Genomic DNA, 18,149 nt, shown 5'->3' with positions numbered 1-18,149 from the left:
ACCCCCAACCTCTTTCCTTACCACTTTCTTCCCTCTTATCCCTCTCCAGCCACAGTGATCTACTCAGTGTTCCTTGAACCTGGCAGGAGAATCCTTTGTATATAGCATTTTCTCTTCTTACAACATTTTTTCTCACGGATAAATGTCCTTCTCTAACTTTCTGTAGGTTTCTGCTCAAATGCTTCCTTATCCCTGAGGCTTTCCCTGATCACCCTCTATAAAAATGGGGTGGGTGCACACACCTTCACTTTTTGTACATTACAAAAACTATAACAGGATTCTTGACTGATTTTGTATATTCGTAACAGTGTGCAGTACATAAAAATCCTTTTTTAAAATTGCTGAACTAATCCATATTTATCACCATCTGACATACTCTAGATTTCTCTTCCTGCTGGAATGAAAACTTCAAGAACATAGAATAGCGCCTGGCGCCCAGTAATTGCTCAGTAAATACTCAGTGAATATAAATGATCTACTCTGAACTTTTAGTGTGTTCCTTTTTACTAAAAGCTTAATAGTAAAAGACCACATCTTAATCAAAGGTTGTTACTTACCACCCTCTTTTGGCAGTTCTATTAGCAAATGTCCAAGGTGATTTTTTAAAGACATGTAAATAAATCGTTTTACCTCTTTTCATGCAAATAGCGTAATTTTTCTTGCGAAAAAAAAAAAAATCACTTTTGAAAGTGAGCTGAAATGAAATCAGTTTTCTGTGGACCTGCAGCTTTCACTGACAAATGGGGGCGCTAAACCATTGCTGGTGGTATGAACATCCTGCTGTCAATCCAGCATCTATCTACTCTTCTATTGCTCCTTGCTTGCAAAGTGTAGAAATGCTTTGTAACCTGAGAGAAGCATTATAATTATTACCTTTTTGGGGCTCCCTGTGCCAGGCATATCGGCCTACACTGCGTAGGGCAGCAGTGAAGAGGGAGGACTGTTACAGATATAATTAAAGGCCAAACCACACATTGTCATATAGATTTTAATAGATTTTCTGATTAACTCATCACAGTAGTCGTTTTTACTGTAATGATATGCAGCTTTACTACACTAGTATAAATAAAAACAGATAAATACAGCTCTAGGCAACATTACAGATTAACTAAGCATTCTTCGTGAACCAAAACTGAAAACAATTAATTATTAAGAAGAAGAGATGCTGACACCCTTGCCCATTCTCATCATACCTTCTCAAAAAGGGTATTCAAACAAGGCGCTACACTTATTATATTGGTAAATTAATTTGCCAATTAGCCAGGCACAACAATTTCATGGTCTCCACTATTTCATTATTTTGGTTGAAAAGGAGACACACTTCAATGTATGAAAAAGAAAAATGGAACAGATAACACCAAAGAAAACCACTAAATGCATTAAAAATACGGCACTTTTCCTGTATTTTAGCAGTAAGATAGAAATACTAGGGATAGAAATATACCAAAAAACAAAATTAATGCTTTAATTAATATCCACCCTGAAATGTCAGTCTCTGAAGCAAGATGGGCAATTAAAGGAGGAGCAGAAATAAAAAAGGGAAATATGATAAAATAAACTCCATGTGAAGTTTTACGAAGCTATCTGCAAAGAAACCGATTTGTCCTTTGAAGGCTATTAACTCAGGACAATTAAGTTATCCAGCAGCCATGCTGAGGAGTTCATAGTCTAGCAATACGTTGCACACAGGCAAATACACTTAAGACGAGTTGGAGATATACAGAACTATCATTTAGAAATGATTTTACTCTGGATGGCTCAAAAAACTTTGAAAGGGCTATGAAGAAAACTTGAAGTCTGTCAAAGGAGAGAAGTAATAAGGAATAATTTTAGGCAGATAGCACAGCTAAGAATGTTTCCCAAAATCCCGAAAATTTTGCTCAACTTTCAATCCTCATTCTTATATGGCTTCATGATCTTATGTCTTCAGGATCTTACAGATCTTAATAGGTATACTATAATTAAGAACTAGGAAGTGAAGAATCACTTTCAAAATGTAAAAACAGCTCATTGCCAGTTGTGTTTCAGAAAATGTCTGTCTGGGCCAGGCGCAGTGGCCCACGCCTGTAATTCCACCACTTTGGGAGGCTCACGCAGGCAGATTGCTTGAGCTGAGGAGTTGAGACCAGCCTGGGCAGCATGGCAAAACCCCATCTCTACTAAAAATACAAAAAAATTAGCTGGGCATGGTGGCGTGTGCCCGTAGTGCCAGCTACTTGGGTGGCTGAGGCGGGAGTATCACTTGAGCCCAGGTGGTCAACGCTGCAGTGAGCCAAGACCATGCCCCACTGCACTCCAGCCAAAAAAAAAGAAAATGTCTGTTTGCAAAAATTTCATTTTCCTATCAAAAATGCATAATTACAGAATATTTAGCCCAGTCCTTTGAGTAAACTGCCTTTGCCAATTGTGAATTAAGGCTGTGATTAAAACAGACAATTCCAAAAACAAAAATCCCAAATATAATCCAGTGCATTTTCACTCATCCTGCAAAAAATGTTCAAACCATCACTGACCACTTCAAATATGGACGTAACCTAGCCCGAGATTCAAAGGTTATTTTCAGATTAAAATTTTAACTGCTATCTTTGCAATTCTATTGTTTTCACATTTTTGGTTTGATTTTTTTTTTAAGAAGGTATACACGAACTTTCGGTTTTATTCTCCAAAGTAATGTAGTTTTTCAACTTTCCAGTTAATGTAGTTTTTCAACTTTCCAGTTAATGGGTCAAAATGGACAGGTCAGAAGACATAATCCAGAGGATGGCAGTGAAAGATCAGAGAAAGGTTTATGTGCACACTGGATCACAGAGAGAGAACCACAACCTTTTTTTAAACCTTTGTTCCCACTGTAAACTTTGTTCATATCTCTGTATTTGTAAGTCTGAATTATTCTATAAAAATCACATTAAAAAGGTAAAATTACTTAAGTGCAATATTAACTGATCTGTATTTTATAAATTTTAATCCATAAAAATATAAATAAGAATGGTAAATTTTTAAGAAAAAAAATATACATTTAGTGCAAGTTATGAATTACATTTCTTCTTCAGTGTCAGCCATGAGATATCTTGAGAAAAGAAAAGAATGACTGATCTAATTTCAATTTTAAAAATTCCAGTGTTTTAACATGCAATTAATACCAGATACAGCTAATCAGAATACTTCCTTCTCTTTACTGTCAAAGCAGCAGCATTTTATTTAATTATGCTCAACAGCACTTGTATATCATAGTAGTAGTTTTAGAAATAGAAAATTTGCATAAGACCCGGTCACATTATCCATAAAGTCTGAGAGGAAAACAAAAAAGAAAACTTTATCCTTTAAAACCAAGCTTCATTGTTTTCGGTTTTGAGCCACACGGCACACAATGAGAGATTTCGTTCTCGCTTCCTTCGAGACTTTACCTGTTTGATGAGCCTTTGTTGTGGTGCATGTGTACTGTTCCAAGCATTTAGTGATGGTACAAACTACATGGTTAATGGCACAAGAAACACTCCCTTCTTGTGATGAAACCTCAGTAAAATCACAGTACATCTCAATATGAGAAAGGACTGCTTCAAAAGGATACACCGATTTAAAGAGGCTTTGTTACAGCTCAGTAGAGAGAGAGAGAGAGAGAGAGAGAGAGAGAGAAATAAAGGCTCTTCTGGAATGTAGAAAGGTAATGCTTAACTATACAATTCATGAATTAAACAGAACAGTTTTGATTAAAAAAAAGGGCAAGACCTTGCAGTTTTATAGATGGCTCAATTCAAAGTAATCCCTCTAGAAATAGGGACTGATAATGTGTCTTTGCAATGTTGGAGCAACAGGCCAGGTGCTCGAGGACTCTGCTGTCATCTCTGTTGAGGCGCAAGCCTGCACTATCAGGCACATCCTCAGCTGAATGCATCCAGTGCAGAACAATAGGAGTTGATACGCTGCTTTCTGTTAGACGGGAAATACCTCACTCCTTTCCTTCTCTCTCCTTTCCCTCCCCAAACAACTCCTCCATTCCACCAGCATTATTTGCAAACCATGTTGCAAAAACCCGGCTTTTATATTTCCTTTCTTTTTTTGTAAAGGAGGAAAAAAAAGTAGATGACTCCCTCAGGTTAAAGAGTTGTGCTATTCAACAAATAAACTTCCTCTTCCGTTTCTTCTCTCTCCTCATCTGTGAGATTCAGTTGAACATTATTGAAGCGGGGTCTTGGTTTGCCGTCTGGGCCATATGCCGGAGGATATCTTTTTTTGTTATAATGCCAAGGAGGCGCCTGAAAGGAATAAACAGAAGACTCCTATGAAATAAAAGGGAAAATAAAAGGAGAAGCTAAATCTATAGCTAAATCCTTTTTGTTGACAGGAATAGAGCAAAGCAAGCAGCCTGATTTTGTATTTCCAAAAAGTACTTTATTGGTAAAGATATTAAAATTATCCAGCAACCATCCTTTGGTATAAAAAGTTACTATGGTCACTAATAGTATGACAGCCTTTCCACCGAGAGTCTGAGGACTGCATGCCTCAATGAAGCAGAGCTATTTTGATTAATGTATGCCAACAAAAAAGTAACAAAAACTGGATGGATGTATGACTAGGAAATGATACTGATCCCATTTGAGAAGGAAAATTGATTTCCATCACATGAAGAGAGCAGTAAAATGATGACCAAATCCTCTCAATATTTTCTCTTTTTCATTTATTTATTTATTTATTTTTTGAGACAGAGTCTCGCTCTGTAGCCCAGGCTGGAGTGCAGTGGCGCGATCTCAGCTCACTGCAACCTCCGCCTCCTGGGTCCCCGGTTCAAGCAATTCTCCTGCCTCAGCTTCCCAAGTAGCTGGGATTACAGGCATGTGCCACCATGCCCCAATTATTTTCAGTAGAGACAGGGTTTCACCATGTTGGCCAGAATGGGCTTCAACTCCTGACCTTGTGATCCACCCGTCCCGGCCTCCCAAAGTGCTGGGGATTACAGGCGTGAGCCACTGCACCCAGCCACTTTCCCTTTTTTAACCAAAATTAACCAATTTTTCAAAGATAATTTAAGGATTGCCCACTTGTATCAGAATCTTCATGAAAGCACATACTATTAAGATAAAATGCATATAAAATGGTCAGCACAGAACGTCAATCCCAAACATCAGAGCCCCAAGAACAAATCTATAAAAGAATCCAAGTTTCTAGGACACTTATCAATGTTTTCCTTTTTTTGATTTAGGCCAGGAAAGTTAAGATACAGTGCTTTTATGAAAGTCTTAGTTGTTAATGCTTACATTAAAAGATAGGTGAAAAATCAGAAGGCAGTCCTAAAAGATTATTATAGGTGAAGCAGAAAGCAGAATGAATGAGTAGCTACGATAATATTCTGGTTAGTAGTTTTTTAAAAAAGGATGCATGAAACACTTGTGAAATATTAGCATACACACAGGAATACATAATCAGTTGTGCACTTAAGCAAACTGGGACAGGTTTCATACAGGTATGACAATTGCAGGGCAAAATAATTTCGGGCATTAATTGCTAAAGCCAGACATTTTTTATGTTATGCAGTAAGATAATTCAAATTTGTAGTCATGAAACCACTAGGACATAAAGCCAGTTAAAATGAATGCATTTGACTCTAAAAGCTGCTTATAGCGTTCCAGAAACATCATACAAAAGGGGCACACACATAATCTAGGTACAATTCACTAATGAGATGGCAGGACACACACTGTGACTTTGAAGATATGCAGGGTATAGCAGAAAAAGAACTAATGCTATGATCACAAATAATATACACATTACACTCTAGTTAGTGTGCCCATTAAAAAATCCATTTAACTGTAAGCAGTTCTAATTGCTAAGCTCCTTTAAAATCCTTTAGGAGCTTAGATTTACCATAAGACTACCACAAGATCGGGAAACATTTAAAAAAAAAAAAAAGGGCTTGCGGGGATGGGTCAGACATTTTTAACCAGTCAGGTGTCTTCTGAGACCGGTGTATCCACTGAGGTAGACAGATTTGCCATATTCACTTTAAGAATGTCCAATAATATTCACTTATTCCACTACCAAACTGTTTACAGTTCTGAAATTGTAATGAATGATTTGATGAGAGATGTTAACTTTTGCTTACTTTCTATAAATGGGATTTTACACATATCTAAATTTATCTTACAGACACATTTTATCAGATACAAATGTAATTGGCAGCATAGTAGGATATTTTTGTTCAGCAGATATCTGGGAAAGACAGAACTCAACAGTTCACAAGTTTCATGCTTCCTGACTTCTAAGGTGTCTAATGAGGAGATCTGATATATCTAATCACCAAGGGTTCGACGTGCTGCTTTAGTTGCTCGAGATGCTCTAATATGTTCTTCTTTGTGATGATCCCCAAGACAATCCTGAAACAGATTATTATGCTAATAACTGTGTGAGAAATTAAATTAAAAGAGTTTCCAATCATAATGATAAAGAATGAGAGAAAAAATAAAAACATGAACCATAAGAATGAGTCTCATGAACTTTAGAAAATAAAAACAAAATGATTTAAAGTTCCAGGTTCCTTTTGCATAAATTCTACTGACTTTCAAAAGTGACACAATACTAATCTTCAATATTGGTGGGTTATTTTTCTTTTTAAAGTAAAAATAATAATTATGAAAGTTTGGAATGAAGATGACTACAAAGCAAAGTACAAAAGAAACTTAATATTGATACATAGCTATAGACCTCTGATATGTAGAGTTTCATTTACAATGTTCTTTCCTCAGAGGAAAATATTTTTCTAATTTCTATGATGTCACAACACAGCAGTTATCATCTGGATCTACCTTGGTGAAAAGGTAGCAAAAGGCTGTGAGGAGACTTAAAAACTCCCGTGGATTTTACTATAATTTCAAATTAAAATTAAAGGCAATGTGCACTAAATAAATAATGCTGACCAAAAGAAACACTCCCTAATGTTCAGGAGCTGTGACTGCCACTTCTTAAAGTAAGCTAATAAAATGTATTTATGATTAGGGATTAAAAGGACTTTCACTTTGTGCATTTTTTTCTAAATAACAATTGTTTCTCATTTAGCATGTCACTGTTATCACATCAAGCAAAGTGATGGACATAAATTCTCATAATGAGGATACATGAAAATAATTAGATTGCTAATTAAAACAAAACTATGGTTACTGGTTTTATAATGGAAATTAATGTGGCAATATAAACAGTGAAAATAAAAAAACCTTAAAAAAACTTTAATCTTTAAATTCTGGAAGCCCATCCAAAATACCCTTCAGGATGACTGGACATTTCCTTGATGATCTCATTAAGTCAACCTCCCTGTTAAACTGCCTTTGAACATTCAGACTTGAAGGATGTCACTAGGAGACTTCAAAGTAGCCTGTTCCTATAGCTACGTCCAGGTGTAAAATAGTTACTTAGCTTGATGGCTGGGGTGGGAGGTGGGGGAGCAGGAGGATAGAGAATGGGAATGACAGAAATGGGTTCTCTGCTCATGTTTTCTCATTATTATGTTAAAAATAATGTATCGATCCTTAAAAGTTCTCAGAGCATGGGAGCAACTTCCCCCTCCAAAAAAGCTCAGAAAATGCACTATATATAATGAACATTCACTCATTCAATAGATGTTCTTCATTGACTAAACATTTGAGATTTCTTTTTTTTAAGCCATCAATTCATTTGATTTTATTGTTGTAGTCAGGAAATGTGAAAATCTTGGCAATTAATTAAATATAATACCAATTGAATTCTTACTCATGCTTTTCTATCCAATTATACAGAATGATTAATTTCAGTTAGTATCATCTATATTGGTAAACTCTGCCAAATCACAAAATATACTGTGAGGAAGGTTACAAATGTATAACGACCCAGTGGCAAATTTAGAATTTTACACAGTAATCTCTGTATTTATAAAGTAAAAACCCTAAAAGATGGAGAAACACACATTAATGGAGAAGAGCGATTTGAGCATAATAAAGTCAGAGTGCTGCTTTAGTAATTTTACAGAGTGGAAGGAAAATCAACGCAAAATGTGGCTCATATAAAACATTATTTGCTGTTTCCTTTTGGGCTAAAAACTAATGATGTAAGAGTTAACAGGGCATAACCCAGCATTTCCAAAGCATGTTCCAAGAAACACCAGTTCCCATGAGTTCTACTATATCCTTCCCTGCAACCCAAAAATAGTTGCATTTTCAAACAAGTCTGGAAAACCATGTATCCTATTACCCATCCCCTCATCTGGGAATCAAAGAATATCAACATATTATAAGTTCTGAGGAGTTCCATAGTAAAGAAACCTCAATTGTATTTAATCCAATACTTTCCAAACTTAGACAGTCACAAAATGTTTTTTCTGAGTCACTCCTATTAACATCCTGCTAATTCCACCAAGATTAACTGATTTTGAAAAATTCTGCAGTTAAAATATAAAGTGCAGAAAACCAATAGCTAATTGAAATTTTTATAATTTACAAACATCTTTCCCTTTCATCTATTCTTTTTCTCCTTGCACCTAAGGTTCCAGATTTGTTATCTTCCTCCAAATAACTATTTTCCACTTCTAAAAATGCAGTATGAACTACACATCAATGATAGCTATGCAGAACTTCATGGTCTCCTTTAAAAACCAGAAGATATCATTTCTTTTCTGGGTTTTAAATAATTTAAGTGAGAAAAAAAACACCCGACTTCCTAATACACTTCAAACAAAACAAAAAGTCCCATGAGCCACTTCCCTAAATGATCTCTTTTCTCCCCATATATGTATCAATTTATTTTCCTTGACAGACAGAAATAAGGAAAATATGATGAAAGCAATTTAATATATTCCCTTAGAAGAAAGTCCAACCCCTTTTTTCATATGAACAGGCAGGACCAGACAAAATTTTAATTAGCTATCCACCCCTCGCTCTATACACTTCGTTATTTTTACACTTTCTTTTAAATATTTTCCTTTCTAATATCTATGCTGCCAAATACCTGGGAATTAATCAACAAACTGAAATATGAAAATTAATCCCTAACAGTTCTGTGTTCATAGTTAACCATAACTCAACAGAATAACATTTATATTTGTCAGTACACAAAAGAAAAAGCCATGCCAGGAACAGAAAACAACTTGAAGCAAATAATAGTTTGTAACAACTCAGCTTAGGTTCCAGTTGAGCCATTTAACAAATAAAAGGGCTCAAGGACTAGCAAAGCTTTATGAAAAGTTGCCCCATTTAACTAGTACTGAGTTTTTAAACTTAATGAAGTCGGTGCCATCATTTAATCAAACAATATTACACAAAGACAAATAGTAACAATAATAACTTATGAATACATCTCTTCTCCAATCAGTATCTAAATTATTAGAATTTAATAATTCTAAACTCCCTGCCTTTAAGGGCTTTATCTCTTTAATGATTTACTTCATATTCCTAAAGAGTTATTTTAATTAGCGCAGTGAAAAACACTAAACATAGATCTAATTCTCTAGTTTCATATTTCTATTCTTAACTCAATCTAATATATTGGCCAAGAAAATGTTTTAGTAGTTTAAGAAATCACAAAGAAAGAGGATTTCTATCAGTCACTTACAGTGCAAAATAGTAGCAAGAGGCTGGGTTTTAAAGTAGGAAAGACAGTCTGATTCCTTGAACCATGACTTGTTCACCACATGACTTTGGGCAAATTATTAAAGCTTCTTGAGCTTTAATTACTACATCTGTAAAGTAGGGCTATAACTACCTACTTTGCAGAGGTCCTGCAAAGTTAAATGAGAAAATATGAAGGTGTTCAATAAACAAATTTCCTTCCTTTCTGTTCTTTTTCTCTCCTTTCTCTGGACAGGAGTCATGTATTCTGTCACCAATGTGTTTTCTACAACATGTTAAAAAAAAAAAACAACAAAAAACTGCTATGATTCTCTGTTTAGAATTTCAACCAGCTTTACGCTGTTCAGGATTAGCCATCCAGTTTATGCATAATCCAAGAATACCCTCTGTTTTTTGGTATTTGCCTTCGGATAAAACAACATTCTTAAGTTCAACAAGAAAGAATATATAGTGGAAATGAAGGGTCCTAAAGAAAGAAGTGTGGAGAAACAGATCCCAGGTCCAGGAAAAGAGAGCAGTGGTGACGAAGTAGTGTATTTGCTAAATCAATTCTGTGCATTAAGGTCTCCACAACCCCCGTGACATCTGTTTCTTTCCTATATTCCTGTCAATGGAGAAACACTGGCAGTTCATGTGTAAAAGGTGGAAAAATAAATTATCAATGTATACATTTTAAATACATGAGTATTTATTTGTCCTTAGCAGTTATATAAATATAAAAGATTTGTGTATAGAGAAAGGTAGACAAAAGGAAACAAAGCATTTGTTAAAGGAGATTTTTAGCTCATTTACAAATTTCATTTAAGTATATATTCTTTCCTTCATTACATGATAAATCAAATATTGGCTGAAAGAGTAAATAGCAAAATATCTAGAAACTTATTATTGTACTAGAAATTTATATACTAAAAATGAAACATTTACAAAAATAAAACAGGTTTTTGCAGTGCTCCATGCAGGTTAGGTCCACTCTTCCCTAGGAAAAGAAGCACTCTAAGCTCAACATGCTTTCATGCTGGAGATCTTTCAGCACCTCTTTTCCAACTTTGAGGTATTATTTACAAATGTCACTGTTTGGCAAAGAGCAGGCAGATGACATCTTTCTTATTCCTTAGTAAATGTGAAATTTGATTGACTGATCCTATATTTGTGACTATACCATAGGACAGACTTTCCCACCTGGGAGCTGACTCACATGCTCCCCTAATAACTATATAGATTCCACTAAAAAGGATCCTATATTCTAGCAAGTGAACTGATTCCTGTGGTACCAGACTTACCCATTGTGAGTTACAAGGCACTGCCTCAGTCCCAGCTTTCGGAAAATATCCACCACGATCTCCATTGGGGTGTGGTCTGTCACTGTAAAAGGGCTCATGTCAAGAATGCTTCGAAGCTTCAATGGCCGAGGACTTTCTGCTGGAAGAGATGGGGTGTGCTGTGCAAAACACACCCGAGAACTGCCAACGATACCTTCTTGTTTTTTCCTGGCACTTTCTGAAAAGAGAGAGAAGAGACCAACACTTTTAAACTGATAGATTTTTAAGTAGGCAACCTGTTTATTCAGAGATAAAAAAAATTAATGTATCCTATGACTTCTGATCCCTTCATTTTTTCCTATCTTCTCCTTAACCAAGAAAGGAGTCAACTGAAAAGCCATTTAGCAATTGTTTATATTTGATTGAATTAGAAGTCAACAATAATATATCATCTTCATGGAAAGAAATTATTTTTTGGTAAAGTTATATCATCGTACAATTTTCTTTACTGAAGCTGTTTTCTAACTTGGGGGCTAAGGAAGTGGGTTTGGAATACGGGATTTTAAAACCTGCACAAATTCTGAGCGCAGTTTATTATAGGAATCCATTATCAAATGAAACCTGCCTCTGCTGAATGTTACTTATTCTGCACTGGAGGTGGCACTAAAGAGAGTTTCATTCTTGCTTTGACTATGCTGTGTCCTCCATCCCTATGAATTAGCTGGTTCTTTTTCTTTTCTCATGTTAAAGTATAATTTTCTAGAAAAGTCATGAACATTACAGATGAGATGAAAGTACAATTATGCTCATAATGCACACAGACTGATATTGGGGGGTTGTTTTATTCATAAAGGCTTTGTTAATTTCTCCTCTCCAGTGTGCTCTGCTTCAAGTTCTTCTGTCCTGCTGCCTACTTCCACTCCACCGTTGAAAGAACTAAAAAAAAAATCTGAATGAAACTGCTGATAAAAAAAAAATGCTAGACAAGAAGTGGCAAAGATGGAGAAAAGTTCAGAGATCACACAAGACGGAGAAGGAAACTCAATGGAGAGAATCTGAAAATAAAATAGTCATTCAGCTTTATGTTTCTACTTTGAGTTAGTATTAAAACTGAGTATATACAGATATGATATTTGTTATAGTGAAAATATTTTGGCCGGCCATGGTGGCTCAGGCTTGTAATCCTAACACTTTGGGAGGCCGAGGCAGGAGTATCACATGAGCCCTAAAGTTCAAGACCAGCCTTGGCAACATAGGGAAACCTTGCTTCTACAAAAAAAAAAAAAAAAAAAAAATCGGCCAAGCATGCTGGTGGTCCCAAGTAATTGGGAGGCTGAGGTGGAAAGATCACTTGAGCCCGGAAGGTCAGGGCTGCAGTCAGCCATGATCATACCACCACACTCCAGCCTGGGTGACAAAGCAAGACTCTGTCGCAAAAAGAAAAAAAAATATATTTTTTGAATACAAATTTTACTACAAAAACATTTAAGCCATAATAAGCATCAGTCCTAAATTGAGAAGCAGATATTACTGCAAACACTGCACTGCTTTTTACTCCTTTTGAACACTACAGCCTTCTTAACTATGTTCTAACACATTTGAGTAGGAGGGCACTAAGTAAAGCCCCAGCAACTAGTACTTACTCAACCACCTTAAAAGCATGATCAGGCCAGGCGCAGTGGCTCACGTCTGTAATCCCAGCACTTTGGGAGGCCAAGGTGGGCAGATCAACTGAGGTCAGGAGTTCGAGACCAGCCTGGCCAACATGGTGAAACCCTGTCTCTACTAAAAATACAAAATTAGCTGGCACGGTGGCACATGCCTGTAATCCCAGCTGAGGCAGGAGAATCGCTTGAACCCAGGAGGCGGAGGTTGCAGTGAGCTGAGGCCGCGCCATTGCACTCCAGCCCAGGCAACAAGAGTGAAACTCCGTCTCAAAAATAAAAAAAGCATGATCATGGCATAGAAAAGAAGTCCATTAGCAATTGACATAAATGATTTTTGAAAAATACCCATTAAGTTGCTTTTAGCTCATAACAATCTAACAACTGAATGGTGTCTGACAACTGAATAGTGGAGTGTAAAAACTACCAGAAGTATCATTAATGGATTCACAAAATAAAAAGATGTAAAGTGTGACATCAATAGTATAAAATGTGGACGGGGGAGTAAAACTCTGTAGTTTTTGTAAGCAACTGAAGTTAAGTTGTTATAAGAAATATATAGTCAAATTCATAACGCTCTAAAACTGCAATAGGGTTTGTAAATCATTTCTAACTCTAGTATAAAAGTTGAAAGACAAAAGAATTAAAAATAACTACAGCAGGCCAGATACAGTGGCACACGTCTCTAATCTCATGTGCTCCGGAGGTTGAGGAGGGGATTGCTGAAGCCCAGGAGTTCAAGTCTACCCTGGGCAACATAGAAGACCTCATCTCTAAAACAGTAATAACTATAGCTAAAATAATTCATTAATAGATATACAAAATAAAAAGACATGAAGTGTGACATTAAATAGAATAACATTCTGAATTAAAACTAACCCCAATTATCAATCTTAAACACCGACAAAATAACAAACACTGTATCAATGAAATTATACTGATTGTTTAAACATTTAATGACAAAATATGTAATTTTAGAAATGTTTAAAAAATTATTTAATGGAATGTTTCTCTTATATACAAAGTACCAGAAGTGAACATTCAATCTCTTTGACTTAAATTTGTCATTTAAAAAAATAACACTTTTCGCCAGGTGTGGTGGCTCACACTTGTAATCCCAGCACTTCAGGAGGCTGAGGCAGGTGGATCGTTTGAGCCCAGGAGCTTGAAACCAGCCTGGGCAACATGGCAAAACCTTGCCTATACAAGAAATACAAAAATTAGCCAGTCATGGTGGCGCATGCCTGTAGTCCTAGCTAATTAGGAGAGTGAAGTGGGAGGATCACCGGATGCCAGGGAAGTCGAGGATCAAGTAAGCCAAGATCGTGCCACTGCATTCCAGCCTGAGAAACAGGGTGAGATGCTGTCTCAAAAAAATAAATCACTTTTATTCTTTCATTTCATTTGGAAACTGCTAAGGAGAGGGATTTTAGATATTCTCCCCACACACACAAAAAATCTGAGTTAATTAGCCTGATTTAACCATTCCACAATATATACATCACATAAACATACATACAATTTTTATCAATTAAAAATAAATAAAATTTAAAAAACAAGTATTACTTTTACATAAATACAGTTTTTGTTTGTTTGTTTGTTTTAGAGACAGGGTCTCACTCTGGACTCTAGAGTCCCAGGGATCCTCCTGCATCAGCGTTCCCAGTAGCTAGGAATACAGGTGGCACCACCACACCCAGACAATTTTTTTTTTTTGGTAGAGACAAAGGTCTTGCTATGTTACCCAAGCTGGTCTTGATCTCCTGGTGCCAAACAAACCTCCCACCCTGGCCTCCCATTTAAAAATATTTTTGATGCTACTCATTCAAGGGCCTTTTAAATAAGGAACATTACAATTTTCATTTTCTTCATTTTTTAAAAAATATTTTTAGTGCTATTCATTCAAGGGCCTCTGAAACAGAGAACAACATTACAGTTTTCATTTGCTGATATAATTCAGGCTTTTTTTTTTTTTGAGACAGGGTTTTGCTCTTCGCCCAGGCTGGAGTGCAGTGGTGGGGCTTACTGCAATCTCCACCTCCCAGGTTCAAGTGATTCTCCTGCCTCAGCCTCCCAAGTAGCTGGAATTATAGGCATGCGTCACCACACCCATGTATTTTTTTTGTATTTTAGTAGAGGCGGGATTTCACCACATTGGCCAGGCTGGTCTCAAACTCCTGGCCTCAAGTGATCCACCTGCTTCAGCTTCCCAAAGTGCTGGGATTACAGGCATGAGCCACCACGCCCAGCCTCAGACTTTTTTTTTTTTTAAAGTCTCAGCATTCCTGTTGAAATGGCCTTAATCTGAGACATCTCATTTGAATTTAATATTTTACAACATTCTGCTTTAGTATGAAACAGGAGAATCTATCTAGTTTAGCATATGTCAACCATCTTATTTTATGAGACAGCATGGAAATTTTTTCATCCTTCAATAAAGTATTTATCATTATATATATCAATTATATGTATTATATGATGTAACTATATATAACACATACATTTTTAATTTATATACAGATCTGTACACTAGGTTTTCTATATATATAATGTAATTATGTTAATATTTATATAATTAATTATAAATTAACATTTACGTACATAATTTTCATATATAGATATGTTTTTTTATAGAGGATATAGAAATATATATCTCTCCCATATAAAAGTTACATATATAAACATATATATGTAATTTTAAATTTATATATATATATAAAACTTAATATACAGGTCTGTTTTTCCCAGTTAAAAATTTAAAACTTTACAAAAACATACACGGTAAAACATTTAAGGTGTGCTTAGAAAGTCATGTGACTAACATTTCTGATGACATGGCTTGGCACCTCACCTACAGAAAGTACCCTCATTCCCTTAAACCAACATTATGTCCTATCTCAATATTCTCTCTCTCAAGACAGTAACAAAACTTTAAAAAACACATCCACACAATCAGTGGGATAATGAATAGTTCTTAATTTCCACACTTTAAAAACATGCCTGGCCTTTTCCCCTTAAATTTCTATGTAAATACCGAAATTCTGACCTCCTTTTTCTTTTCTTTGGCTGGCTACTAGTAAAAACTAGAGAATGGGAATCTTAAACAATGAAATTCTTTTGACTGGGTCTAGCCATGGTAATGGCTAAAAAACTAAAATGCTTGAACGGAGCCAAGCATGACAAAATACTATGTCATCAGCTCTGGCAACTACTATTGTATTAGCTAAGTAAAATTTAGAATGATGGGAATGCTAGGCCTTGAAAAATCCAAAGCTGTAGCCTGTTCCCAAACTGAACAGGGTGTTCTCTGTAGGATCTTTTTTCTTTTCCTTTCTTTTTTCTCTCTCTGCTTAATGGTTCTTACAAATTAAAGAGTTTCCAGTTTGATTTGAGAAACACTCCCCCACATACACTGTCTGGTCTTGTGCCATTCAAATGGCACAAAAATTATTTTTAAATCCTTTTGCAATGGCCACAGAGGTAAGCTGGAAGGGAGATGATATGCTCACAGGAATGACCTTTCAGACAGGCCAAAGGCTTGACACTTCCATTCAGGGTCTGGCACTAAAACCTGGGGAGTAACAAAGCAATGGCTTGATGTACCTATCCTCAGTCACTTTTTAGGGGTTGGAGGAAGAGATATAAGATTGTGTCAAAAAAATATTAAGTCTTAATGGTCTCCTCATCAATACTGCGGGACTATAAGGTAAAGAGAAAAACAAATTTTAGAGAAACAGAACTATAGAAAGTTTAATTTATCTCCAAGAAATACACTATGGCTAATACCTTTAAACAGTATTTTCAGGAAAGTCTGCATAAAACACAACAGGACTGATACGTTATACTTTTTCAACCTGGCATTTGATCAGAAATAAAAATCTCAGTGATTGTCACTTTAAATCAGATATTATAAATTAATATTATAATTCTAACCCCAAAGACTGATAAAGCAAAACAGTGTTATTCTAATATGAAAGAGACTGATGAAGATGAGATTTTCAATAACTTGTATTCCAATAAGCCAACTTTATTAAATACAAGAATGTATTTGACTGAATGCATTTAGCTAAGGTCTTATATTACATGCTGTTTTGAATAACCAAGATCAACTTATCTAGGCTTATCTGAGTGGGAAAATAATCTGACTCCAATTTCTGGTACAATGCCAGATCAAAAGACAAAACTGAAATACAGATTTTCTGCTAAATAGCAGAAAATCATCCACTGAAGCATACCTTCCTTTCCTAAAGAACAGAAGATTTTAAGGGACATAAAATAATGTCCCTTGCCCCCACAAATCCAACCCATTAAATGTTACTGCTTATTGCTTTCCTTTCTTCCAGAAATCCATCTCATATATACATATATATATTTTTGAAAGGGTACCTATTGCAATTGTCAGGTCTCTTCTGAGGGCAAATCCCACTAATCTCTGAGATTCTTTTGACATTATGACAGGAAATCCATTGTAGCTGGTTTCATTAATCATGTTTTCTATATCATCCACTGTCATATTGTCCTGTGTCAGGACAGCTAAGGGAGGATCATTCCTTCGAGGTCTCATAACGTCAGCAGCCAGGGTGGTATGAGTGAATTCTTCTTTTGCATCCAAGAAAGGGTATCCATTTAATCGGATGTGTGCTTCATAAATGCCTTCCCTGCCAAAGGCATCTCCAACCCATTTACTGGTCATGACTGCAGCCATAAGGGGAACAATATATTCCAAGCCTCCAGTAAGCTCAAAAACAATAACCACCAGGGAGACAGTCATTCTTGTCACACCACCTGAAAAAAGTAAGCACCCACTGGTCAGGAAGGACAGGATCCTCATCATTACATTTTATTAGAATTTTTGCACTAGGCAGTTAAAACTAAATGGCAAATAGAACTCAGTCAGGGAAAAGCATTAGCATCTAAAACTGCTACTCCTCTTTTAGGACAATAATCACTACTTTTAATAAGCTCTAGAGAAACACCAATTTTCTTTGTTTATAACAGAGAAGACTATTAAAATAACATTTTAAAAACCTGTTTATTTCATATTTTAAAAAAGCAAAGCTTACCGACTAAAACAATTTTGCCATTTTGGTTTAGTGCTGTAGCAAAGACATAATTTCACCCTTATAAAAGCTTATTCTAATTATAAAGGAATTTAGTAAAGCACATCATGCTTTGCTACAATTTACAAATTAAACTCATATATGGGTAGAATATTAATATAATAAATTTCTCCTCTAAATTTTTTTCAAAAAGAGTAAAATACTTTGATGCCTTTGATTTACATTAACGATGCAAGTAATATTCACTCACAGAAAACTATTTGGGCCAGGCACTGTGGCTCATGCCTGTAATCACTTTGGGAGGCCAAGGCAGGAAGATCACTTAAGTCAAGGAGTTTGAGACCAGCCTGGGCAATACAGTGAGACCCTGTCTCTACAAAAGTAAAAACTAAAAAAAGTAGTCATGCATGGTGGTGTATGTCTGTGGTCCCAGCTACTTGGGAGGCTGAGGTGGGAGGCTCGTTTGGGCTGGGGTTTGAGGCTGCAGTGAGCTGCGTTCACACTGCCTATGGTCCCTTTCTCGGTATTCTCACTGTTATCAATCCAGTCCAAGCCCTCATGACTTTATTCCTTTTTTACTTT

General features: G+C 35.9%; 1 protein-coding gene across 9 annotated transcripts in view; it reads right to left on the bottom strand.

The window, feature by feature from the left end:
- CLCN3 (chloride voltage-gated channel 3) overlaps nt 487-18,149 on the bottom strand; it is a 103,096-nt gene continuing 85,433 nt past the window's right edge. For 5 of the 9 annotated variants that reach the window (NM_001829.4, NM_001243372.2, NM_001243374.2 and 2 more), the window contains 3 exons: nt 16,894-17,292; nt 10,865-11,081; nt 487-4,253 (listed from right to left, as the gene is read on the bottom strand). In NM_001829.4, coding sequence (NP_001820.2) covers nt 4,163-4,253; nt 10,865-11,081; nt 16,894-17,292 — 707 coding nt within the window. In that variant the 3' untranslated portion in view covers nt 487-4,162. Of the gene's footprint in view, nt 4,254-6,292; nt 6,369-10,864; nt 11,082-16,893; nt 17,293-18,149 lie in introns of all 9 variants that reach the window. The other 4 variants (NM_173872.4, XM_047449584.1, XM_005262726.4 and 1 more) reach the window with 1 other exon arrangement.

The sequence above is a fragment of the Homo sapiens genome, chromosome 4 (genome assembly GCF_000001405.40).
Source record: "Homo sapiens chromosome 4, GRCh38.p14 Primary Assembly".
NCBI classification, from domain to species: domain Eukaryota; kingdom Metazoa; phylum Chordata; class Mammalia; order Primates; family Hominidae; genus Homo; species Homo sapiens.
The sequence above is the reverse complement of the archived record's forward strand: the minus strand, read 5'-3'. Positions and strand labels throughout refer to the sequence as shown.